Source organism: Homo sapiens, chromosome 2 (genome assembly GCF_000001405.40).
Source record: "Homo sapiens chromosome 2, GRCh38.p14 Primary Assembly".
NCBI classification, from domain to species: domain Eukaryota; kingdom Metazoa; phylum Chordata; class Mammalia; order Primates; family Hominidae; genus Homo; species Homo sapiens.
This window is the reverse complement of record NC_000002.12, coordinates 74,472,790-74,496,464: the sequence shown is the minus strand read 5'-3', so window position 1 is coordinate 74,496,464 and position 23,675 is coordinate 74,472,790. Positions and strand designations below refer to the sequence as shown.

The following is a 23,675-nucleotide window of genomic DNA, read 5'->3' as shown; positions in this document are numbered from 1 at the left end:
GAATTACAGAACCCTGAGGAAACTTGGCCAGGTCACAGTTTGTAAGTGGTGGCACAGGGACTGAGCTGTTTGCTTGTCCGACTCAGGAGCCCATGCTCTTGGTCTCTATAAAGGTGACTGAGCCTAAAGGAAAGAAGCAAAGGATTTACAGAGAAAGGGGAGGAGAAAGGGCCACAGGTAGGGACTTAGGCATTGTACTTTAGAGCATGGTCCCTGGAGGTTTTAGAGAAGAGAGACAAGAGACCATTGTTTAGGGTAGGCCAATCTGGCTGTGGGCGCAGGTTGGATCAGAGACTGGTAGAGACCTGAAAAAGGGAGTATATATCTGGCCACTGCAAAAGGTAACAGCAGAGAGAACTCAGGGCCAGACTTGAGGTGGGGCTGGGAGGTGGTCACAGAAGAGGAATCTGCGATTGCCCCAGGGATCAAGGATTGCATGAGTCAATGACAACCTAGCAAATGTGGGCAACTGGAAGAAAAATGGCAACATGGAAACAGACAGTGACCACTGGTGTGGAGCTAAGAATCTGTCAGCCATTATGCATATGCAAAAAAATAATTCTTTGCAACTGCATTGCCCCTTCAGTACTCCCTTCTAAATACTGCCTCTCTGGAACATTTCCAGTAGGGTGATCAACTCTTTCCCATCTGCCCAGCATTTTCCAAGTTTTGGCATTGAAAGTCCCTCACTCCAGAACATCCCTCAGTTCCAGGAAAACCAGGATGGTTGGTCACTCTACTTTCCAGTCCTGGGAACTCAGAACTCAGGCTGTTGGGTCAGACCCCTATTAATTAGGAGGGTGAAAATGGGGCAAAGTGTCAGGAGTCACGTGACTCTTGGAGAAGCTACAAGTCCAGGGCAGGCTAAGGTACTGGGGAGGGAACATTTACTTGAGAAGCTAGAACAAGGAGCCAGCTCAGCTGGAAGGCAAAAATACCATTGAGTAGTGGTGGGTGGCCTTTGAGAGGTCAGGAGCCCTACAGACATCCCAAAAGCATGCAGGTCCCTGCTCAAAAACAGGAAAGCCAGATGGGCAGGCCTCTTATGGAACCACTGTAATATAATCACCCCTTGGACAAACACAACCACCTATGCCCATCCTGCTCCCCAACCAGGGGTGAGCAAAGAACTCTCAGGGCAAATCCTTCTAGTTAGGAAGGTAGGGTCCAGTCAAATTAACTGGCTGAGTCATAACCTCTCTCCCCATTGAGGTTTCCCAAATTCTAGCCCAGCTAGCACTGCCACCTCTTATACTGAAGACTTGGACAACAAAACTCAAACCTGTCCCACCAAAATGGCCTCTGGATGGAGGTCTGCTCCGCTAAGCCCCGCCCTTGAACAGTGTGTATCAGGATCACTTGGTAGGTTTATTGAAACACAAATTGCTGGGCCCTGCTCCCATGGTTTCTGATGTAGGTCACTGCAGGGGGCCTGAGAAATTGCATTTCTTTTTTTTTTTTTTTTGAGAGTTTTGCTCGTTACCCAGGCTGGAATGCAATGGCGCAATCTCGGCTCACCGCAACCTCCGCCTCCCAGGTTCAAGCGATTCTCCTGCCTCAGCCTCCCGAGTAGCTGGGATTACAGGCATGTGACACCACACCTGGCTAATTTTGTATTTTTAGCAGAGGAGGCGTTTCTCCATGTTGGTCAGGCTGGTCTCAAACTCCTGACCTCAGGTGATCCACCCATCTTGGCCTCCCAAAGTGCTGAGATTACAGGCGTGAGCCACCGTGCCCAGCCTGAGAAATTGCATTTCTAGTAAGTTCCTGGATGATGCTGATGCTGCTAGCCTAGAAAGCACACTTTGAGAATCCAGTCCCAGAACTCTGGATTTTGTGAATTTCAGCACCAATTCACCCACACTCCTCTCTTCCTATTGTGGGAAGCATGACTATGTAGGACAGTTGCAGACAAAAAGTGGTTTATTTAGCACCCACTATGTACCAGGCACTTGGGAGGTATTTTCTCACACTTTCGCTTTCCATCCTCACAATATCCCTTATGAGGTAGGGACTACCCTCATTTTTACAGGTGAGGGAACTGAGGCTTAGATGTTGACAGACCCATCCAAGGTGACCCAGCTGGTAATGGTAGACTTCATCCTGCTACACAGTATTTAAGGGGCCTAAACCATAAACAATTTTTAAAAATTTGGGAAAGTCACACATAAAGGAGATGTTTCAATACCTTCTCTCTCCAGGTATGAACAGTATTGAGCAAGACCCACAGGGCAGCAATAATCATTTATCCTGATGAAAGGTTCCTCTGTGAAAGGTAAGGGGGTTGGGGGAGACCTAAAGCCTTCTGCAGACCCACATTTAAATGAGCTGACAGTCCCAGCAGGACTACAGAGGAACCAGCTAGGGGAAGCTGCCAGGATCTTAGACGTGAAATTAAAAGGAGATCATGCTTCTTACCCAGGAAGTGGGGAATTCAGTTGACCCTTGAAAAAACTGAATAAATTAACATGGGGAAAGGCTAATTACCATGCCCAGTGCTGGGGTGGAGAAACAGAGTGGCCAAGGTTGTAGCAGCTTGGGCACCTGCTGAGGCCCCATTCAGCGGGAGAGCCACCAGTTGGGAGTGTGGACATGTATGGCCCTACCAGCTCTAAGCAGGAGCTGGTAAGGGACTTCCCAAATGCAAACCCTTGGTGAATATTCTAGCAGTGAGAGGAGGTGAGCACCAGACCACTGGACAAGAGAGGTCAGAGTCATACATAGCAATCTGGACAGGAAATGGCATGAGGAGCTGTGAGTAATCTGGGGGCTATGGCTAGAAAAACAGGGCACGAGCTGGGGCTGAGAAGAGGTGAGCATCCATCAAGCTGAAAGGTGGGACTCAAGCCCCCTCAGCACTGTGACCCCGTTCCTGTACACCAAGCTCTAGTTGGTGAATGAGGTCCCCTGGACCAAGAGGAAGAGAAAGGCCCAGATGCTTTCTCACTGTCTCTGCTATAGCCTAAAAACCTGAACTTTTCTATAGTTCCCTTCTTGAGCCTTGGTGGGTTTTATTTTTCCTTACTGCCTCCAGAAGAAGCTTGAGAACCAAAGGATGTTTCAGTGGATGTGGGGCTCCTTTCTCTCATCAGAAGCTTCCCCATGGCAAGAGGAATGACTGCCAGGGCATCATTAACTATGGATCTAGAGAATAAGGTCTCAAAATATGCAGTGAACTGTCACCACACTATGTCCCCCACCAAGGGATATATACATGGCCCTGCCCTATGAGGGACCGGTGCCCCCTCATCTGGCCTGAGACAGATGCTGGAGCCCAAGTCCCAGGATGTCCCAGCCCTTTGAAGGGTCCTGGGGCTTGAGAGGATGGGGCCTTCTACTCTGAGTCTGGGAGAGGGGCTGGTTGGGGTGGCTTCGGTGACATGAAGGATAATGCAAGAGTGGAGACAGGCCAGGGGACCTCAAAGCAGTGCTTCGAGGGCACCTGAGGGAAGGTAGGCCTGAGGGTGCCAGCTCAGCATGGGGAAGTGGCTGGAGGGCCCCAGGTGACAGAGGTGGTGCACAGATTCCTCCTCGCTGACCCTGCTGAGAAGGGAGAGAGAAGGGCACCAGATCCTTCTTTTAAGCAGGAGAGCCCATGCCTCTCATTCCACCCATCCTTCCCCGCCCCCTCCTTAGCCACCTGAGGCTTGGTATTGCAGTCCCAGCCAATTCTCCCTGATACCCGCCTCAGCATGACAGTGTGCCTGGCCCCCTTACCAGTGTGAGGTGGAGAAGGCAAGAGCGGAGCTCTCGGGCTGCGTCAGGCTGGGACCCACCTCTCAGAGTTTCCTGAAACACAGCAGCTGCCTCTCTGAAGCGCTTTGGTCCCAGAGGGATCAGAAAGAAAAGATTAGGTGTCAAGGTGCTTAAAAGTACCCTTTCTAAAACTGGCCCCTGCTCCTAGTACCACAACCATTGTGACACTTTGGTACTAGAAGCTTATCTAGAAAGTCAACATAGACCCTCTCCCCACTCCATCCCACTCAAATCTCTCCTGTTTCCAGCCCCAGACCTATTACCTGTAGTCCCATCAAGGCCTTGCCCAGGCGGAAGAGGCCCCGGGGCCAGCCAGGCCGTAGGGTAAGGGCCACCTGGGCATCAGCCAGGGCCCACGCTGGCTGACCCAACCGCTCATGGCAGAAGGAACGATTTCCAAATAACCTGATAAAGACAGAAGGTGGCCAAAGGTCTGAGTCCTCAACACTCTGCCCTGCCCTGGCCAAGCCCCCACCTACCGGTGGTCCTGGGGGTTGAGCTTCAAGGCCTGGGTGAAGAGGACCACGGCCTCATGGTAGAAACCATTTTGAGCAAAGCTGGTACCCAACTCTGGAAAGGAAAGAGGGTGAGAAGGTTCAGATGGGGCTACCCCAGGGAGGGTGGGGTGAGGACGGAGAGAGAAAGGATCTCACTTGCCAGTTCCTGGCTCTGTTGTAAGGCAGCTGCCAGCAGTCCCGGAGATGCCTGGGGATAGGGTGCAAAGTCAAGCAGGTCTTGAGGTCTCAGCCTCCCCAAATCCTTCTCCTTTGTTTAAACAGGTAACACTGCAATTAGCATTACCCAACTCATGTAATCCTCATGACAGCCCTACAAGATGGTATCAGCCCTATCTTCCTAGACAGGAAACCACCCGGGGTCATGGTGACAGTGATGGGGCCTGACTGTAGGTCTCTTGACCCTAGAGCCAGAGAACTCCCACTGGACCCTGTGTCAATCCTTAGACCCTGTGCCTCCCCAGCAGCTCCTTGTGCCCCTTCCACGGTTCCAGCTGAATAAGGTTCTTCAGCCACCTCACCTGTACCTTTGGACTCTGCTGGGGCCTCTCCTCTCTTGGAGGGCTCTCTTCCTCTTGACCCATCTTCTGGAGGGCCAGACCCCTGCCTTGGGGCTCCTGGTTCAGTCCCTTCTCTCTGCGGGCACTGAGGGGCCAATCCCCAACCTTGCGCAAAGCCAGAGACACAAAAGTGCTAGATAGATCCAGTGAGTCCTGTGAACAAAATGGAAAGTTAGGGAGGGGGTGGGGATGAAGTACATTCTGGAGGAGGAGGAGGAAAATGAGCAGAGACCAAGAAGGGAAAAAAGGGGCTCTCACCTCTTCTTCACCACACTGTCCCTGAACTGGGTTTCCAGGGCTGGATGGGGGGCTCTCATCTCCATCTGAGGTAGTGCTGGCCTGGAAGAAAGATAGACAGGTACAGAGTTGGGATCACCTTGAGCTGCCTGCTTTCTTGGCCCTCACCTTCCTGGCACTTGGTGCTCTTAGTACCTGCCCTAGATACTCACCTTGGGCTCCCCACAGTACTGCTCCAAACGCTCCTGTCGCTTCCGTTCCTTTTGACGCTGCAATAGTAATGGTAACAATGATGTATTTTGAACACTTACTGTATGTCGTGTGCTGGGCTAAGATTTCGCATTCCATCTTTGCAGCTCTATGAGACAGGCATCATTATTATCCTCATTTTGCAGGTGAAAAAGCAGACAAGAGAGGCACCAGCAAGAGGCCTCATGTAAGGAGGCAGATTCCTACCTAGGCAGCACAGTAGGATTCCAGAACCACTGCACCAGATGGCCTGTGAGAGACCCCCCAGTCCCTGGGCCCCTTGTGTCCTCCTGGCAAGAGAGTCCACTGCAGGCCATCTTGAGCTCTCTCCTGTTCCCACAAAGTTTCCTCTTTCCCTCTCCCAAATCCCTTTGGCTCCCCTGCACCCTCCAGCCATGCTCTAGCCACCTTCTTCTTGAGTCGCTTTTTCTCTGCTTTCTGTTTCATGCGCTCCTCCTCAGCCACCAGCTCCTCAGCCAGGCGATTGGCTTCCTGAAGGACGAAGGGCAGGTGACAGAAAAAGAGAGAAACAGGGAAATGGAGAGCAAACATGAAAGGGGGCAGGCAGTATAGAAGGATCTTGAAAGGTACCAATTAGGGGAGAATATAGGGATGGGGATACAGGGATTGAAAGAACCCTGGGGGACGGCAAAGCCCTCTCCTGAGAATCTCACCTCTTCTGTCACCAGGAGCTTCTGGGGCATGGCCACCTGAAGCAGGCTGTCTGAGACACTGGGGAAGGTGGCAGAGGCAGAGGGGCTTTGAGGGCAGGGCTCAGACTCTTGGGGAGGATACAGGAAGGACTTGCGGAGACCACAGTAGGTGCCCAGTCCCTCAGCCCCCTTGCCCCTGTCACTCTGTCCAGTTGATTTCCCTTCATCATCCAAGTGGCCCAGGAGGTAATCTGTCAGGAGGGAGAAAGAGACAGGAAAGAAAGGACATGAGAGCGGGGTGCATCTGAGGGTCAGCCCTCCCAGGGTACCAGCCTCGATCCCTGGGCCCGGTCCCTGCACTCCCCACCATGGTGCCACAGCTGCAGCCGCCCGCTGCTCCCATCCACATGGATCCGGTGCAGGCCCTGGGGATCACTCTCCACAAGCCGTCGAAGAAAATCCACTATGTCCTGGGAGGGGAGGGGAGGGGAGGGGAGGCTGGTGTTGGGGGCAGTTCCTGGAGAGAGCAAGGGCTTCGCTGGCTTGATCTCTCCACCATGGCAGCCACCAACCAGCTATCCAGCCCAGAGACTCTCACTGGCTCTGACCTCTCCCTCCTCAGCACCGCAAAATCTGCTGCCCCCAGCTATTGTAGTGAATCACCTCCCCTCGCTGCTTTCCTGCCTTCCCAAGGGTTGAGTATGGTATTCAACCTGGCCTCCTCTACCATCCAGGATCTTCTCTCCTCAACCTGAGTTAGCCACACTGAGGCCCCTGGAATGAAGCCCTCCCACCTGCTCTTCCAGCTAGGCCCCCTGTCATATCTGCAGTATGAACAGCTCCACATAACCCACCCTGAGGCTAGCTCACACCTAAACAAGTACAGCAGCTCCTGGCTGGCCGCTCCTCTGCACCTCATCTGTTTCTCCACAAAACTAAGCTCTAAGAAATTACTTCCCTACTCAGGGACATCCAATAATCCCCCACTGCCAAGGCCATAGGCAGAGTTGAACCTAATTCCTCAGCCTACGATTCAGAGCCTTCCAAAAGGCTCCCAGGCTGACCTTTCCAGCCCTCCTTTTAATCCTCCCCTGCTTCACTGCTGTCCTCCCTCCCACCACCAGGCTCCCTCCAGCCTTGGGGCCTTCCCCCAGCTGCTCTCCAATCCCTCCTAACTCTTGAGCTTCTTTCTCACATCTTGCCTCACCTTCAAGGTCCAGTTCAAATTCTATCTCCCTTCAAAGCCTTCCCAGACCCTTTCATCTCCAATTATCTCTGCCTCCTCCAACTAACCTGCAACCACATTATCTGTGTTACACAATTTAGAAACTTGTTATTGATTGCTTTCTATTGCTCTCCTCATTGGCCAGGCAGCATGGAATTCCAAAGGGCATTGTGCTGGAGTGGAGCCACTTGCATCTGAGGTTATTTTTTCTTTTGAGGTGGATTCTTGCTCTGTCACCCAGGCTGGAGTGCAGTGGTATGATCTCAACTCACTGCAACCTCTGCCTCCCGTGTTCAAGCGATTCTCCTGCCTCACCCTCCCAAGTAGCTGGGATTACAGGCACACGCCACAATACCATTTGTATTTTTAGTAGAGAGGCGGTTTCACCATGTTGGCCAAGTTGTCTTGAACTCTTGACCTCAAGTGATCCACCCGCCTCAGCCTCCCAAAGTGCTGGGATTGCAGGTGTGAGCCCCTGTGCCCGGCCGACTATTTTTTGTTTGTTTCTGAGACAGGGTCTTGCTGTGTTGCCCAGGCTAGACCCAAACACCTAGGCTCAAGCGATCCTCCTGCCTGAGCCTCCTGAGTAGATGGGACTTCAGGTTTGCACCATCATGTCCAGCTTGTCCAAATTTTCACTCTGACACTACCTGCCTGTTTGATTCTGGAGAAGTCATTTAACTTCTTTGGACCTCTCCCTCATTCACAAAATAAGGCAAGACTCTTTAAGGCCTGGCCCACACATTCTGTGGTCCTGATGGGAGTCATTTCCTCAGGGAGTATAAGCTTCAAAGACAGGAATGATCACATTCCTATTTGCCTAATCAGGCCTAAACAGAGCAGGACTGACTGAGACGCTTAGAAGCCAATGATCTTTTGGACTTATTGAGTTAGAAGCCACAAACTTAGAAACTCCAGCGTGCTAAAAAAAAATCTGTAGGCAGGACTTCAGATGACTAAGGTATATTCAATTTTCTAAACAATTTTAGATCCAAGGCTTCCCTCAGAAGATAGTCCTGGCTTAACAGCATCTCCAATACTGCTAGGCACTTTCATCAGTCTTATACTTAAAATTCAATTTCCTGGTGGGTTTGTGTCACCTTCCTAACTGCAACATAAGCATAAATAATGAGCCAGGTGTGGTGCGGACGCCTATAGTCCCAGCTACTCGGGAGGCTGAAATCGAAGGACTGTTTGAGCCCAGGAGTTCAAGGCTGCAGTGAACTATGATCATGCCACTGCACTGAAGCCTGGGTAACAGAGGGAGACCCTGTCTCGATAAATAAATATGGCTGGGCATGGTGGCTCACGCCTGTAATCCCAGCACTTTGGGAGGCCAAGACGGGTGGGTCACTTGAGGCCAAGAGTTTTAGACCAGCCTGGCCAACATGGCGAAACCCCATCTATACTAAAGATACAAAAATTAGCTGGGCATGGTGGCACATGCCTGTAGTCCCAGCTACTCAGGAGGCTGAGGCACGAGAATTGCTCGAACTTGGGAGGCAGATGTTGCAGTAGCCAAGATCACACCACTGCACACCAGCCTGGGTGACAGAGTGAGACTCTGTCTCATAAAAATAAATAAATTAATTAATTAATAATAAATAAATAAAGCATGCTCTCTGCCCCATGTCAGGCAGCCTCCTCAGGATGTGCCACTCAAATATATACTGTATTTCTTCTCTCTTCCTCCTCAAACCAGTGTAGTCATCATTAAAAATAAAAAATAAAAATAAATTTAAAAAAATAAAAAGCCGGGTGCAGTGGCTCACACCTGTAATCCCAGCAATTCGGGAGGCCAAGGCAAGCAGATCACTTGAGGTCAGGAGTTCGAGACCAGCCTGACCAACATGGTGAAACCCGTCTCTACTAAAAATACAAAAATTAAGCAGGTGTGGTGGCACGCATCTGTAATCCCAGCTACTTGGGAGGCTGAGGTAGGAGAATTGCTTGAAACTGGGAAGTGGAGGTTGTGGTGAGCCGAGATCTCGCCACTGCACTCCAGCCTGGGCAACAGAGCGAGACTACGTCTCAAAAAAACAAACAAACAGGTACTTCCTTGACCTTCTACTACCTGTCCCCAAACCACAGTCTGTGCTGCTCTCTGAATTCACTACATGGCCACTACATATGATCTGGTCCCCCAATATCATTGTGAATCTTCTCCTATCTTGTTACCCTCCTCCAGCCACAGCAGTGTCCTTGGAAGTTCCCACAACATACCAACTGTGCTCCCATCTTAGGGCTTTGCACTTTACTTTGCCTAGAATGCTTTTTCCCCAGTGAACAGCTCACTCCTTCGTCCTTTTTAGATCTCTATGTAAATGTCACTTTCTCAGAGAGGCCTTCTCTGAACACTCCTTTTTTTTTTTTTTTGAGGTGGAGTTTCGCCCTTGTTGCCCAGGCTGGAGTGCAATGGCATGAACTTGGCTCACCGCAACCTCCGCCTCCAGGGTTCAAGTGATTCTCCTGCCTCGGCCTCCAGAGTAGCTGGGATTACAGGCATGCACCACCATGCCCAGCTAATTTTGTATCTTTTAGTAGAAACGGGGTTTCTTCATGTTGGTCAGGCTGGTCTCAAACTCCTGACCTCAGGTGATCCATGTGCCTCAGCCTCCCAAAGTGCTGGGATTACAGGCGTGAGCCACCACACTTGGCCTGACCACTACTTTTAGAAGGAGAAACTTCCCAACTCCACTCAGCACTCCCTATCCTCCTTCTTGCTTTTTCTTTGTACTTCTCATGTTTGACATACTATGTTGTTTATTTATTTGGTCACTGGTTGCCCTCATTAGATGCTCCTAATTTGTTGAACAGAAAGATTTTGGTCTGTTTGATTTACTGCTGTTTCTCAGTACCTACAACAGTATCTAGTACATAGGTGGTATTGTGTGTGTGCTGAGTAAACAGAGATTGGTGAGGAGGCTATTCCAATAGAGACAGAGCCAGGAACTGTGTGTGAAGAAACATGTGTGACACAGTGAGTGTGAACTTTTTTTTTTTTTGAGACGGAGTCTAACCCTGTCTCCAGGCTGGAATGCAATGGCGCAACCTTGGCTCACTGCAACCTCCATCTCCTGGGTTCAAGCAATTCCCTTGCCTCAGCCTCCCAAGTAGCTGGGACTATAGGCGCCCACCACCATGCCCAGCTAATTTTTTGTATTTTAGTAGAGACGGTGTTTCACCATGTTGGCCAGGATGGTCTCCATCTCCTGACCTCATGATCCGCCTGCATCAACCTCCCAAAGTGCTAGGATTACAGGTGTGAGCCACTGCGCCTGGCCGTGAGTGTAGACTTTATCTTGTCAGTGATAGCAGTGGACTTGATCTGGGGAATGAAACAATCAAATGAAATAGTGCTGAGACGGCCAGGCATGGTGGCTCAAGCCTGTAATCCCAGCACTTTGGGAAGTCAAGGAGGGTGGATCACCTGAGGTCTGGAGTTTGAGATCAGCATGACCAACATGGAGAAACGCAATCTGTACAAAAATACAAAATTGGGCCAGGTGCGGTGGCTCACGCCTGTAATCCCAGCATTTTGGGAGGCTGAGGTGGGCGGATCACAAGGTCAGGAGATCGAGACCAGCCTGGCTAACATGGTGAAACCCTGTCTCTACTAAAAATACAAAAAATTAGCCAGGCGTGGTGGCAGGCGCCTGTAGTCCCAGCTACTCGGGAGGCTGAGGCAGGAGAATCACTTGAACCCGGGAAGCAGAGGTTGCGGTGAGCCAAGATCACACCATTGCACTCCAGCCTGGGCAACGGGAGCAAAACTCCATCTCAAAAAAAAAAAAAAAAAAGAAATACTGCTCAGGGGAAGATGAGGCTATGGATGTAATGTTTAGTTCAGGCCAGATACAAGGAGTCTTGATATAAGGGAATGGCAGCAAGACCAGGAACGGAAATGAGGGGCTTCTGTCAAGAGACATTTAGAAGTAGATTTTAGTGGCCGGCATGGTGGCTCATGCCTGTAACCCCAGCACTTTGGGAGGCCGAGATGGGTAGATCACAAGGTGAGGAGTTTGAGACCAGCCTGGCCAATATGGTGAAACCCCTCTCTACTAAAAATACAAAAATTAGCTGGGCGTGGTGGTGGGTGTCTGCCATCTTAGCTACTCAGTAGGCTGTGGCAGGAAAATTGCCTGAATCCGGGAGGAGGAGGTTGCAGTGAGTAGAGATGGCGCCACTGCACTCCAGCCTGGGCGACAGTGTGAGACTCTGTCTCAAAAAAAAAAAAAAAAAAAAGTAAATTTTAGTGACTAACTAAATGTTTGAGGTAAAAGAAAGGGATATAAAATGATTATCAGATTTCCAGATTAAACAACTAGATGAAAGTTTGTGTTATTAACCAAAATTGGGATTAGAAGAAAAGCAACCAATTTACAAACATGATAAATTAATTTAACAAAAGTTAATTAAATTAACTTTTGGGTTTGAGTTTGAGATTCTAGGGAGTATAGCGCCTCAATGCTTCCAAATCTGATCCTGTCCCTCCTTCGAAAACCCTGCTGTCTACCGGGCATGGTGGCTCACACCTGCAATCCCAGCACTCTGGGAGGCCAAGGCGGGCGGATCACGAGGTCAAGAGATCGAGACCATGCTGGCCAACATGGTGAAACCCAGTCTCTACTAAAAATACAAAAATTAGCTGGGACTGGTGGCATGTGCCTGTAGTCCCAGCTACTCAGGAGGCTGAGGCAGAAGAATTGCTTGAACCAGAGAGGCGGAGGTTGCAGTGAGCCAAGATCACACCACTGCACTCCAGCCTGGGCGACAGAGTGAGACTCCATCTTAAAAAAAAACAAAAAACAAAAAAACTCTGTTGCCTACTTGAGAACATCCAAACCCCTGTGCTAAGTCAAAGCCTTTCAAGCCATCTGCTGCCTTCTCTCCCACCCCATCTTTTACTGTTCCAACCAGATTCTCTACTCTGGTCTCACTTTGGTAAAGTTCTCTCAACTTTTCCTTGTTTTACTGTCTTTGCTCACACTGTCCCCTCCATCTATAAAAAGATATTTTTTCATTTTTTTTTTGAAATGGAGTCTCCCTCTGTTGCCCAGGCTGGAGTGCAGTGGTGTGATCTTGGCTCACTGCAACCTCTGCCTCCCGGGTTCAAGCGATTCTCCTGCCTCAGTAACCCCAGTGACTGGGATTACAGGCGCACACCACCACGCCCAGCTAGTTTTTCGTATTTTTGGTAGAGATGGCGTTTCACCATGTTGGCCAGGCTGGTCTCGAACTCCCGACCTCAAGTGATCCGCCCCCCTAGGCCTCCCAAAGTGCTGAGATTACAGGTGTGAGCCACTGGGCCCAGCTTTTTTTTTTTTTTAGACAGAGTCTCACCGTTCCCCAGGCTGGAGTGCAGTGGCACGATCATGGTTCACTGAAACCTTGACCTCCCGCGCTCAAGAGATCCCCCACCCACCACGCGGGCTAAATTTTTTAAAAACATTTTTGTAGAGATGGGGTCTCACTATGTTGCCCAGGCTGGTCTCTAACTCCTGGGCTCAAGCAATCCTCCCGTCTCAGCCTCCCAAAGTGTTGAGATTACAGGCACAAGCCACCGCGCCCGGCCTCCATCTTTTCCCAAGGAACTCGTACCCACTCCCTAATCCTCAACTCAGAGACCCTTGTCTGCTCAATTCTACCCACTTCGAGCATCTGTTACATCAGGATCATCCTCCTGATCCCCTGCCCCTCACTTGCCTAAGATCCTCAAGGGCATGGCCGGAGACTACAACTCCCCAAAGCCTCCAGAGCCCCGTCTGGCGCCCATCCGTCGCGGGTTTCTGCACAGCTGACTTCAAAGAGGCGTGACCAAAATGAGCAGGACTGGGGGAAACTGAGGGTCGCTTTTACCTCTTCGCCGTAATCCTCTGGACCGAATTCCTTGCAAAGTTTGGGTGCAGCAGCGACCTCCAGTGGGCAGCTGGGCCGTAGAGAGCAGTCTACAGGAAAGGAAGGCGGAGCCTCGTCAGCGGGCTCGGGACAGATGGGCTAGAGTCCTCCCCACTCTACCCTCGACTCTCCGCCCTCTGCATAAAATCCTACTCGAAACGTTCAGACCACAGGTGGACCCAAGAGGGGCTGCCTCTGCCCTCCTAGACCCCCACTGGTCTTGTCATACCGCTCACCTAGCTTGATCCGCCCCACAGTCTTTGGAATCGGCGCCATCGCATCTACAGTGACCCGGAAATGAAAGGTAGTCTAGTATTTGATACCAGCCAAAGGGCGGGGTGGGACAGAGTGGGCGGCCATGTTTGTTAGGGGCAGAAGCCTCCCATTACGGAGCACGAGAGAGTCCATGAAGGTCCCCGCGACTCCCGGACTGGAGAAAACGGCTCTTGCGATGGGGCGAAGTCCGAGCTGCGGCGGGCGTTGGTCCGTGCAGGGAAGTGGGAATCGTTAGGTTCGTTCTGGACCCGCCGCCCCATGGCCCAGGCGTCTCGCTCAGGTAGCCTGCCTCCACTCGTTATCGTGCCCCCGCTGAGGGCGCAACCCGGGGGCACTGGGGAGGAGCAGTGGGAGAGAAGTCGAACGGGCGGTCTTCGCTGGGAGGTTCACTGCTGGCCGAGCGGAACTTCTGGAGGGACGCCGTGGTGGCCGACGCCGGCGGATGTGAGCGAGGACTACGAGGCTGATGCTGCGGCCTGGAGGCGGGGGCCCGCAGGTGGCGGCCCGATCCCTCCCGCGCTGCAGCGTCTCCGGGCGGTGTTGCTGCGGCTGCATCGCGAGCGGGAGCAGCTCCTCCAGGCCCGAGACTGCGCCTACCACCTACAGTCGGCTGTGCGACTCATGAAGACCCTGAGTCCTGGCTCGCCATCCGGCGGCCCTAGCCCCTTGCCCCAGTGGTGCCGCGACCTGCAGCTGCACCCTTCCCAAGGGGCGGTTCTGCGAATCGGCCCTGGGGAGACTCTCGAGCCGCTGCTGCTAGCGCGCCCCATCGGACTAGCCGCCCAGTGCCTGGAGGCTGTCATCGAGATGCAGCTTCGCGCTCTCGGCCGGGAGCCCGCCAGCCCGGGCCTGTCGTCCCAACTCGCCGAGCTGCTCTTTGCACTTCCCGCCTACCACACACTACAGAGAAAAGCCTTGAGCCACGTCCCAGGGGCCGCACGTCCTTTCCCCACGTCCCGTGTGCTCCGCCTCTTGACGGGGGAGCGGGGTTGCCAGGTGGCAAGTCGGCTGGACGAGGCGCTCCAAGGATCGGCGTTGAGGGACCAGCTCCGCAGGCGGTGCCAAGAGGAGGGGGATCTGCTACCAGGGCTGCTGGGCCTGGTCGGGGGCGTGGCGGGTTCAGCCAGCTGTGGACTAGGGCTCGGAGGGGCTGGGGCCTTGTGGAGCCAATACTGGACCCTGCTGTGGGCAGCCTGTGCTCAGAGTCTGGACCTAAATCTGGGACCCTGGAGGGACCCCAGGGCAACAGCGCAACAGCTGAGTCAGGCACTGGGTCAGGGTGAGTGATGGGCTTGGGTGGGCGTTTGGGAAGGCTGGGGTCTCTTCCTTCCCCTTGGCCAACTCACTGACCTGCCATCCTGAAGGCAAAAGCAGGCCCTTTAGAAAGAACACCCCTGGGTTCAGACTATAGCTTCTGAGCTTTCAAGGCAAAGTCTTGCTTTCCACCCCAGTCCCGAGTCTTGGAGGAAGCATGCCTTCTTGCCTCATCATTGAGTGGGCAGGGGTTGTGGAAAGTGAGACCTTGTTTTCAGGCCCCAGAGTCATTTCTCCCACTAGCATCCCTGCCTCAGGAGTGTGAGAAGGAGCTGGCATCTTTGTGTCACAGACTACTTCATCAGTCGCTTATCTGGAGCTGGGACCAAGGTGAGAAGGAAGGGGCACTGGGGGTGACATAAGTCCCAGGTTACCGCTTCCCCACCACACTATACTCTCTCATCCTCAGGTTTCTGCCAGGCCTTGGGATCAGCTCTTGGGGGTCAGAGCAGCCTTCCCACATCCTCTGGCACTGCTGAACTTTTGCAGCAGCTCTTTCCTCCTCTCTTGGATGCCCTTCGAGAGCCCAGGTTACGACGGATTTTCTGCCAGCCTGCAGGTGAGACGAGGGGCTGGGGCTGGGGACACAGAGCAGTTGAGGATATCTCTTTTCTTTCACTCTGTTCTGAAATCTGCCTCTTCCCAAAGGTACTCCATGACCCCTAAGATACTCACTCTGCTGCTCAAATCCCCAGATCCTGCGCCTGTCGCCCTAGGTCTCTGTACCCTTCAGACCACCTTGCTCTGGTTCCTGGGCAGAGCTCAGCAGTACTTGGCAGCATGGGACCCAGCTTCCTTCCTGCTCCTGATCCAAAAGGACTTACCTGTGAGTGGCTGGGGAGTAGGGAGGGGAGCAGCCTGAGCTAGGCTGAGCCCTCACTCCCTGTTTCCACCCAAAGCCTCTGTTGCATGAGGCAGAAGCTTTGTATAGCCTGGCCTCAGAGGAAAGCTTAGCTCTGGAAGTGGAGCAGCAGCTGGGCCTGGAGATCCAGAAGCTGACTGCACAGATCCAGGTGAGAACAGGGGCCTCAACAGTGGCAGTGTAAGACCCTATGTTCTGTGCCAAGTATCGGGGGTGGGAAGAGTAGAACATCTCAGTAACTTGGAATCTCCTTGGAGTCTCTGCTAAATGTATCTTTTTTTGCTCTGTTCATTTTTTGTTCTCTTTAACTTTTTTTTTTTTTTTTTTTTGAGACAGGGTCTCACTTTGTCACCCAGGCTGGAGTGCAGTGGCACAATCTCAGCTCACTGCAGCCTCTACCTTCTGGGCTTAAACGGTCCTCCCACCTCAGCCTCCCTAGTAGCTGAGACTACAAGCTCGTGCCACCACACGTGTCTAACTTTTGAATTTTTTTAGTAGAGACAGGGTTTCACCATGTTGCCCAATCTGGTCTCGGACCCTTGAGCTCAAGTGATCCATCCACCTTGGTCTCCCAAAGTGCTGGGATTACAGGCATGCGCCACCATGCCTGGCCCCTTTAACATTTTACTATGGAAAATTTCAAACATGTACAAATGTAGAGAGAGGTGTATAATGGACTCCCATATGTCTGTCACCAAGCATTTAACAATTATCAACTCATGGTCAATTTCATCTGTGTATCCCCTACCCTCTCCCCAGTAATGCCAGACTCTCGTTTTTGATGGCAACAGTGGATCATTGCCTCGATTCATTATTTCATTAGAGGTTGTAAAGTGGTAACATTTCAATTCTCATCATTCCTACTTCATTTATGAGTTGGATTACTCCTATGAAGAAAAACTTGCCTTCATTAATGATTTGGTTACTCTTAGGTATATTTTAGAGAGAAAATTCAGGATAAATGATTGCATCTTTCTCTTTACTTACCAGTTATCGGCACATTTCTCCTCTCTTAAAAGTTTAATTTGTATTTTTATTAATGCTTTGGGAGGCCAAGGCAAGAGCATTGCTTGAGGCCAGGAGTTCGAGACCACCAGGGGCAACATAGCGAGACCACCCTAGGCAACACAGACTCCCATCTCTCCAAAAATTAAAAAATTTAGCTGAGCATGGTGGCATGCGCCTGTACTCCCAGCTACTTGGGAGGCTGAGGCAAGAGGATCGTTTGAGCCCAGGAGGTCAAGGCTGCAGTAAGCTGTGATAGCCACTGCATTCCAGCCAGCCTAGGCAATACAGTGAGAGACCCTGTCTCAAAAAATAAAATAGTGCATGTCTATAGTTTAAAAAGTGAAATAGAATATTATTTTATAAAACTAATGAAAAAACAGCACTTTGTTTGCCCTCACTCACCTCTGATTTCTATTTCACAGTAGTAACCTTCATCCATGTTTGCCTGTTTCTCCTAACATTTTCTTATATGTTTATGAATAAAGCCATTATACTTTTTCTTCCCCATTTTGCACATTTATCTATTCCTATGTGGAAGATGTCTGGTTTTTTGTTTTCCTGCTCAGTTTTCTCCTCTTTGCCCCGAATAGGGGTGTGGCTGTAGAGTTCAGTCCTTAACTCTCTGCTTTTCTCTCAGTATTCCTGCTTACCCACAGTGTCTTGCTGCTGTGAACTCCCGGGTTCAGTCTTTCTGGCTCCCAGAGTTCTTTTTTTTTTTCTAAGATGGGGTCTCACTGTCACCCAGGCTGGAGTGCAGTTATGTGATCTTGGCTCACTGCAACCTCCACCTCCTGGGCTCAAGCAATCCTCCCACCTCAGCCTCCTGAGTAGCTGGAACCACAGGTGGAAGCCACAATGCCCAGCTACTTTTTTTTTTTTTTTTTTTGAGAAGGTGTCTCACTCTGTCACCCAGGCTGGAGTGCAGTGGCGTGATCTCTACTCACTGCAACCTCCACCTCTCAGGTTCAAGTGATTCTCCTGCCTCAGCCTCCTGAGTGGCTGGGATTACAGGCGCCTGCCACCACGCCCAGCTAGTTTTTGTATTTTTAGTAGAGATGGGTTTCACCATGTTGGCCAGGCTGGTCTGGAACCCTTGACCTCAGGTGATCCACCCACCTCAGCCTCCCAAAGTGCTGGGATTATAGGTGTGAGCCACCACACCCGGCCAATGCCCAGCTACTTAAAAAAATTTTTTTTTTTGTAGAGACAAGGTTTTGCCATGTTGCCCAGGCTGGTCTTGAACCCTTTTTAAAAATCTTTTTAAAAAACTTTTTTGGGAGGCCAAGGTGGGTGGATCGCCTGAGGTCAGGAGTTCAAGACCAGCCTGCCCAACGTGGTGAAACCCCGTCTCTACTAAAAATACAAAAAAGTAGCCGGTATGGTGGCAGGTGCCTGTAATCCTAGCTACTTCTGAGGCTGAGGCAGGAGAATCGCTTGAACCTAGGAGGCGGAAGTTGCAGTGAGCCGAGATAGCGCCATTGCACTCCAGCCTGGGCAACAAGAACAAAAATTCTGTCTCAAAAAAAAAACAGAAAACAAAAAAATTTTTTGTCCAGGTGCAGTGGCTCACACCTGTAATCCCAGCACTTTGGGAAACCGAGGCAGGTGGATCATCTGAGGTTAGGAGATCAAGACCGGCCTGGCCAACATGGTGAAACCCTGTCTCTTCTAAAAATACAAAAATTAGCTGGACATTGTGGTGTACACCTGTAATCCCAGCTACTCGGGAGGCTGAGGCAGGAGAATCACTTGAATCCGGGAGGCGGAGGTTCCAGTGAGTCGAGAGCGTGCCATTGCATTCCAGCCTGGGCAACAGAGTGAGACTCAAAAAAAAAAAAGTATATATATATATTTTATTTATATTATATCTATATATATTTTATTTATATTATATCTATTTATATATATATATATTTTTTTTTTAATTAGAAGTTTGGCTCGTGACATAGCCCTCAGGAGATCTGAGAACATGTGCCCTGTTCTTGAACTCTTGAGCTCAAGCAATCCACCGCCTTGGCCTCCCAAAGTTCTGGGATTACAGGCATGAGCCTCCACACCCAGCCTGGCTCCCAGAGTTCTAGTTAAACATCTGCATTTGCCTGTTGGGCATTTCTACCTCAGTTTACTGCTGTCTACTTAAACTCAACATGCCCCAGAGCAGGCTCATCATGAGTACTGCACACAGTGACGGTCATAGAGCCCTGAGGAAGGAAGGCTATAGTGGGCATGTGGTTAAAGAACGCTCCATACATGGCCTATGGCTGGAGATGGTGGCTGGGAAGCCTCAGAGGAGTGGCTGGGGTTACTGGAAGTGGGCAGTTTGTAGATCCTTGTGGGGGTAGCAGAGAGGTGGCCTTACCAGAGCAGAGGTTCCTTTTGTGGGTATGTTCACTGGGGTTGGGTGTGGGGTAGGGTAGTAAGCAATTTGGCATCAAATTGTGGAGGGCATGAACACCAGCCCCAACAATTTGCGCTTTACCTCATAAGTGAGGGGGTGACATTTTAAGAGCAGAAGGGTGTAATCCCAGCATTTCGGGAGGCCGAGATGGGTGGATAACTTGAGGTCAGGAGTTTGTGACCAGCCTGGCCAACATGGTAAAACCCCATCTCTACTAAAAATACAAAAATTAGCCAGGCATGGTGACGGGTGCCTGTAATCCCAGCTGCTCAGAGGCTGAGGCATGAGAATCGGTTGAACCCAGGAGGCAGAGGTTGCAGTGATCTGAGATTGCGCAACTGCACTCCAGCCTGGGCAATAAGAGCGAAACTTGGTCTCAAAAAAAAAAAAAGAGGCATTGTGAGTTTTCTTCCTGTTTGGACTATAAGATCCCAGTGGGTGGGGGAGAGACTGTCACACACTCTGCACCTTGTATTCCCTCAGTGTTGAGTACAGAGGCTCCTAACAAAAGTCCGTTGACAAAAGGGCAATTTCCTTGACATAAATAAGGGAGGAGAAGGGGGCTTGCATTTACTGGAGAAGAGAGGAAGATTTTGGATTTAGACAGGTTGTCAGATGTGCCAGGAGCCATATGGGCTCCACTCCATGTCTGGCCGCCCCCAGGTCTATCCTGTCTTCAGGCTCCCTGGCATCTACCATTTCTTTACAGAGCAGCTGCCATTAACCACATTTACTGGGGTTCCTCTCCCTCAAGATGGGCTGTAGAGCAGAAACCAGCTTTATTGCTGTGTTCTCTCCCTCCAAAAACAACCTATCAAACCAAAGAAACAAACCCAGCATATAGGCCTTTTCTTGCTTTATGGGTTATATTGCTCTGGAGTGGGCTGTGAAGAATAATAATATATAATAATGCCTTTCAATGTAAGGACATTCCAAAACTTCCTGAGTCTCAGAACATTCAAATAGTCATTGCTTCTGGTTTACATACAGTTCTTGTCTTCCTTTTGTAGGTGATAACCAAAAGATCATTGTAGGCTGGGTGTAGTGGCTTAGTGGCTCACATCTGTAATCCCAGCACTTTGGCAGGCAGAGGCAGGCCGATCACCTGAGATCAGGAGTTTGAGACCAGCCTGACCAACATGGCAAAACCTTGTCTTTACTAAAAATACAAAAATTAGCTGGGTGTGGTGGTGCACTCCTGTAGTCCCACCTACTTGGGAGCCTGAGGCAGGAGAATCACTTGAACCCGGGAGGCAGAGGTTGCAGTGAGCCGAGATCACGCCACTGCACTCCAGTCTGGGCGACACAGCAAGACTCTGCCTCAAAAATAAAAGGTCGTTGTAATTCCCCTTTCTTCCCTCAATTTCTGCCCATTGCAGATCATACAATCCCTCTTTCTGGCATATGCTCTGTGTGTGTGTGTGTGTGTGTGTGTGTGTGTGTGTGTGTGTGTGTGTGTGTGTGTGTGTTGCGGGGGTGGGGGCAGGGTATGTCTTTCTTTTTCCTTAAAGCTCTTGTATAGTAAAATTAACCTCAAGGATTTTCCATCTTTTGAACCAAGCTGGGGAGAGCAAGGTAATCCTAGGGCAATTGTTCATAATTTGGGTCCAGACCTCTTGGAAAACCCAATGACAACTATGGCATTGCTCCTCAAAAAATGGCCAGGCATACACAACTATGCAACAATTCTGGGGTTTTATGGATGTCAAGTTGGACATAGAGCTCCTTAGATATAGAGGATCATCATAATTTGACAAGCCCCTTTTACTTTCTCCCTATCCCTACAGCTCCTGCCTGAAGAGTCACTAAGTGTCTTTTCTCAAGAATGTCATAAACAAGCCATGCAAGGTTTCAAGCTCTACATGCCACGGGGTCGGTACTGGCGGCTTCGTCTCTGTCCTGGTAACTCCTCATCCCAGCTTCTCCTTCCAGAGTTCCAAGGGGGTAATAGTGTCTCAGCCCTTCCAAATTCCGGTTCCCCTCCACTGTCTCCATCCTTGTCCTCAGCTTCTGTACCCTTCCCTCCTGAAATCCTACCCTCTTCTCCCAAACACTCCATTTAGGGGTTCAATGGATCTCCACAGCCTTATATTCTGTCTTCTCTATTCCAGAACCTCCCAGTGCTCCTAGTGAGTATGCTGGTTTAGTGGTCCGCACCGTACTGGAGCCTGTGTTGCAAGGATTGCAAGGGTTGCCACCTCAAGCCCAGGCCCCTGCCCTTGGTCAGGCTCTGACGGCCATCGTGGGTGCCTGGCTTGACCACATTCTTACCCATGGGATTCGGTTCAGGTCAGGAGTAAAGGTGGAAGTGGCAGGGGGTGAATGGAACTGGGAAAAGGAAGGGGATAAGTGGGAGAGGCAGGAGGGTCAAGTGGCCATACTGTACCTCTGCCTTCAGCCTGCAGGGAGCGCTGCAGCTCAAACAAGACTTTGGAGTGGTCAGGGAGTTGCTGGAAGAGGAGCAGTGGAGCCTGTCCCCTGATCTCCGCCAGACCCTGCTCATGCTCAGCATCTTCCAGCAGCTGGATGGGGCCCTGCTGTGTCTGTTGCAGCAGCCCCTGCCCAAGTCTCAAGTCCACAGGAGGCCCCCCTGTTGCTGTGAGTTACTCCCCTTCGCTCACTGCTTTGTGTGTCCCAAACCCTATTCTCACCATTAATCTGGCTTCAGTATATCCCCAGCAGCCACCTACCTTCCACTCCTGCCTTACCAGGTGCTTGTCAGGAGGTCCAGACCACGAAATTGCCCAGCAGCTGCCTCAATAGCCTGGAGAGCTTGGAGCCCCCGCTCCAGCCTGGAACATCTCCAGCCCAGACAGGTCAGCTGCAAAGCACACTAGGAGGAAGGGGACCTAGCCCGGAGGGCTACCTGGTGGGAAATCAGCAGGCCTGGCTTGCCCTCAGGCAACACCAGCGACCCCGTTGGCACCTGCCGTTTTTTTCCTGCCTGGGAACCAGTCCTGAATCCTAAGGAGCCTGGGACCAGGAGCCAGAAAGTTAAGAGCTCCCCATCTCTAGCTGGAAAATCCAGACATTTGGAATTGCATATTAAGGAAGCCCAGAACTGGAAGCTTGGAGGAAAGCATACTGGAGAATAAGCTACAAAGAGCCTGGGCTTAAGAATCCAAGATTAGGGGCTGGGCGAGGTGGCTCACGCCTGTAATCCAGCACTTTGGGAGACCGAGGCAGGCGGATCATGAGGTCAGGAGATCAAGACCATCCTGGCTAACACGGTGAAACCCTGTTTCCACTAAAAATACAAAAAATTAGCCGGGCGTGGTGGCGGGTGCCTGTAGTCCCAGCTACTCGGGAGGCTGAGGCAGGAGAATGGTGTGAACCTGGGAGGCGGAGCTTGCAGTGAGCTGAGATCCAGCCACAGCACTCCAGCCTGGGTGACAGAGCAAGACTCTGTCTCAAAAAAAAAAAAAAAAAAAATCCAAGATTAGGCAGGGCATGGTGGCTCACACCTATAATCCCAGCACTTTGGGAGGCTGAGGCAGGCGGATCACCTGAGGTCGGGAGTTCCAGACCAGCCTGACCAACATGGAGAAACCCCGTCTCTACTAAAAATACAAAATTAGCCAGGTGTGGTGGCGCATGCCTGTAATCCCAGCTACTCAGGAGGCTGAGGCAGGAGAATCGCTTGAACCTAGGAGGCGAAGGTTGCGGAGAGCCGAGATTGTGCCATTGCACTCCAGCCTGGGCAACAAGGGCAAAACTTCGTCTCAAAAAAAAAAAAAAAAAAAAAAAAAATCCAAGATCACTCCAGCACCTGGAATCCAGAGTAAAGAGCAAGACCATAGCCTGGAACCTGAAGGTCAGACCCTTGGGAGGTTCAGGCCTAGTTCTCCATCACTGAAGATATCTCAGGGATAAAGAGTTGAGTGCTCGGCCAGGTGAGGGGGCTCACGCCTGCTCACGCCTGTAATCCCAGCACTTTGGGAGGCCTAGAGGGGCGGATCACGAGGTCCGATCAAGACCATCCTGGCTAACGCGGTGAAACCCCGCCTCTACTAAAAATACAAAAAATTAGCCGGGCGTGGTGGCACGCGCCTGTAGTCCCAGCTACTCAGGAGGCTGAGGCATGAGAATCGCTTGAACCCGGGAGGCAGAGATTGCAGTGAGCCGAGATCGCGCCACTGCACTCCTGCCTGGGCAACAAGAGCAAAACTTCGTCTCAAAAAAAGAAAACTGGCTAGAATGCACTTCAACTTAAGTCCTGGGAGCTACGCTAATTCATGGAGAACCACAGAGGTTTAATAGGCATTTCTATACCTGGATCAGCCCCAAGGACAGTATTACCCTGTACTGCCCTTCCTATTACTATTTTCAGTCATTTACTAATATTGGGCTGTAGTACTTTCACGTTTAAGCTTTGGCTATTCAGAGCTCACTACGTTTAATCTTCAGTTACCTGAATGGTGTTTACCTTCTGGTGTGGATCATCCCGGCTTGTGTTAGTGCTCTCTCTTTGGAAGAAGCCAGGATTTAAGATCGAGTTAGCCTAGATGTGGCCCAGCAGGGTACAGAAGGGGAAAGGCTGCAGAAAACGGGCGTATTTTCGTGCAAAGAGGTTTTTGCGCCATTTATTTATGGTTTTCACCGTCGTATGAGAGGACTATTCATGATAGGCTGTATTTGCTGACAGCCTACTTTGGGCTCCCCCATGCGTTGTGCCGAAACCACCTCTTTCTTTCCTGCCTTCCTCCGCCTGGGCTAGGAAGCCC

The 23,675-nt window shown here is 51.0% G+C and overlaps 2 protein-coding genes across 32 annotated transcripts, besides 4 other annotated features; one reads left to right on the top strand and one right to left on the bottom strand.

The window, feature by feature from the left end:
* Positions 1-1,905: 1,905 nt before the first annotated feature.
* On the bottom strand, positions 1,906-13,384 carry TTC31 (tetratricopeptide repeat domain 31). Of its 30 annotated transcripts, none has more exons than NR_164773.1 (13): positions 13,330-13,384; positions 13,055-13,143; positions 6,338-6,440; positions 5,992-6,221; positions 5,726-5,809; positions 5,281-5,337; positions 5,090-5,170; positions 4,793-4,984; positions 4,414-4,461; positions 4,236-4,326; positions 4,020-4,161; positions 3,718-3,819; positions 1,906-3,543 (listed from the first exon to the last, which is right to left on the bottom strand). NR_164773.1 is itself a non-coding variant. In XM_011533035.2 (13 exons), exons 1-13 carry the CDS (start codon positions 13,367-13,369, stop codon positions 3,247-3,249), a joined length of 1,620 nt encoding a protein of 539 aa, XP_011531337.1. In that variant the 5' UTR covers positions 13,370-13,384; the 3' UTR covers positions 1,906-3,246. The 30 variants fall into 30 exon arrangements, 24 of the variants coding, with proteins under 24 accessions (XP_011531337.1, NP_071937.4, NP_001363059.1 ...); XM_011533035.2 differs by having other exon boundaries at positions 4,410-4,521; NM_022492.6 differs by having other exon boundaries at positions 4,410-4,461.
* Positions 12,955-13,064: an enhancer, noted in NCBI's record as "active region_16065". NCBI's record gives its function as "activates an Ori minimal core promoter by ATAC-STARR-seq in GM12878 lymphoblastoid cells {active_cell/tissue: GM12878}" and the evidence as "EXISTENCE:reporter gene assay evidence [ECO:0000049][PMID:35858748]".
* Positions 13,385-13,924: an enhancer, noted in NCBI's record as "active region_16064". NCBI's record gives its function as "activates an Ori minimal core promoter by ATAC-STARR-seq in GM12878 lymphoblastoid cells {active_cell/tissue: GM12878}" and the evidence as "EXISTENCE:reporter gene assay evidence [ECO:0000049][PMID:35858748]".
* CCDC142 (coiled-coil domain containing 142) lies at positions 13,467-23,633 on the top strand. Of its 2 annotated transcripts, none has more exons than NM_032779.4 (9): positions 13,467-14,648; positions 14,927-15,013; positions 15,093-15,242; positions 15,400-15,509; positions 15,583-15,696; positions 20,739-20,853; positions 21,063-21,240; positions 21,350-21,549; positions 21,663-23,633. In NM_032779.4, the coding sequence occupies exons 1-9, from the start codon at positions 13,628-13,630 to the stop codon at positions 21,917-21,919; spliced, it is 2,232 nt and encodes a 743-aa protein (NP_116168.3). In that variant the 5' UTR covers positions 13,467-13,627; the 3' UTR covers positions 21,920-23,633. The 2 variants fall into 2 exon arrangements, with proteins under 2 accessions (NP_116168.3, NP_001352504.1); NM_001365575.2 differs by having other exon boundaries at positions 15,379-15,509.
* Positions 14,035-14,154: an enhancer, noted in NCBI's record as "active region_16063". NCBI's record gives its function as "activates an Ori minimal core promoter by ATAC-STARR-seq in GM12878 lymphoblastoid cells {active_cell/tissue: GM12878}" and the evidence as "EXISTENCE:reporter gene assay evidence [ECO:0000049][PMID:35858748]".
* Positions 14,225-14,324: an enhancer, noted in NCBI's record as "active region_16062". NCBI's record gives its function as "activates an Ori minimal core promoter by ATAC-STARR-seq in GM12878 lymphoblastoid cells {active_cell/tissue: GM12878}" and the evidence as "EXISTENCE:reporter gene assay evidence [ECO:0000049][PMID:35858748]".

Bases quoted from the DNA above. Each gene is read 5' to 3' on its own strand.
- TTC31 (XM_011533035.2), bottom strand. From the start codon at position 13,369: ATGGCGCCGATTCCAAAGACTGTGGGGCGGATCAAGCTAG. The intron at 5,810-5,991 runs GTGAGATTCTCA...TTCGTCCTTCAG, and splicing joins AGCTCCTGGTGACAGAAGAG to GAAGCCAATCGCCTGGCTGA. The intron at 5,171-5,280 runs GTGAGTATCTAG...TCTTTCTTCCAG, and splicing joins AGTACTGTGGGGAGCCCAAG to GCCAGCACTACCTCAGATGG.
- CCDC142 (NM_001365575.2), top strand. From the start codon at position 13,628: ATGGCCCAGGCGTCTCGCTCAGGTAGCCTGCCTCCACTCGTTATCGTG. The intron at 15,014-15,092 runs GTGAGAAGGAAG...TCTCATCCTCAG, and splicing joins TATCTGGAGCTGGGACCAAG to GTTTCTGCCAGGCCTTGGGA. The intron at 15,510-15,582 runs GTGAGTGGCTGG...TTCCACCCAAAG, and splicing joins TGATCCAAAAGGACTTACCT to CCTCTGTTGCATGAGGCAGA.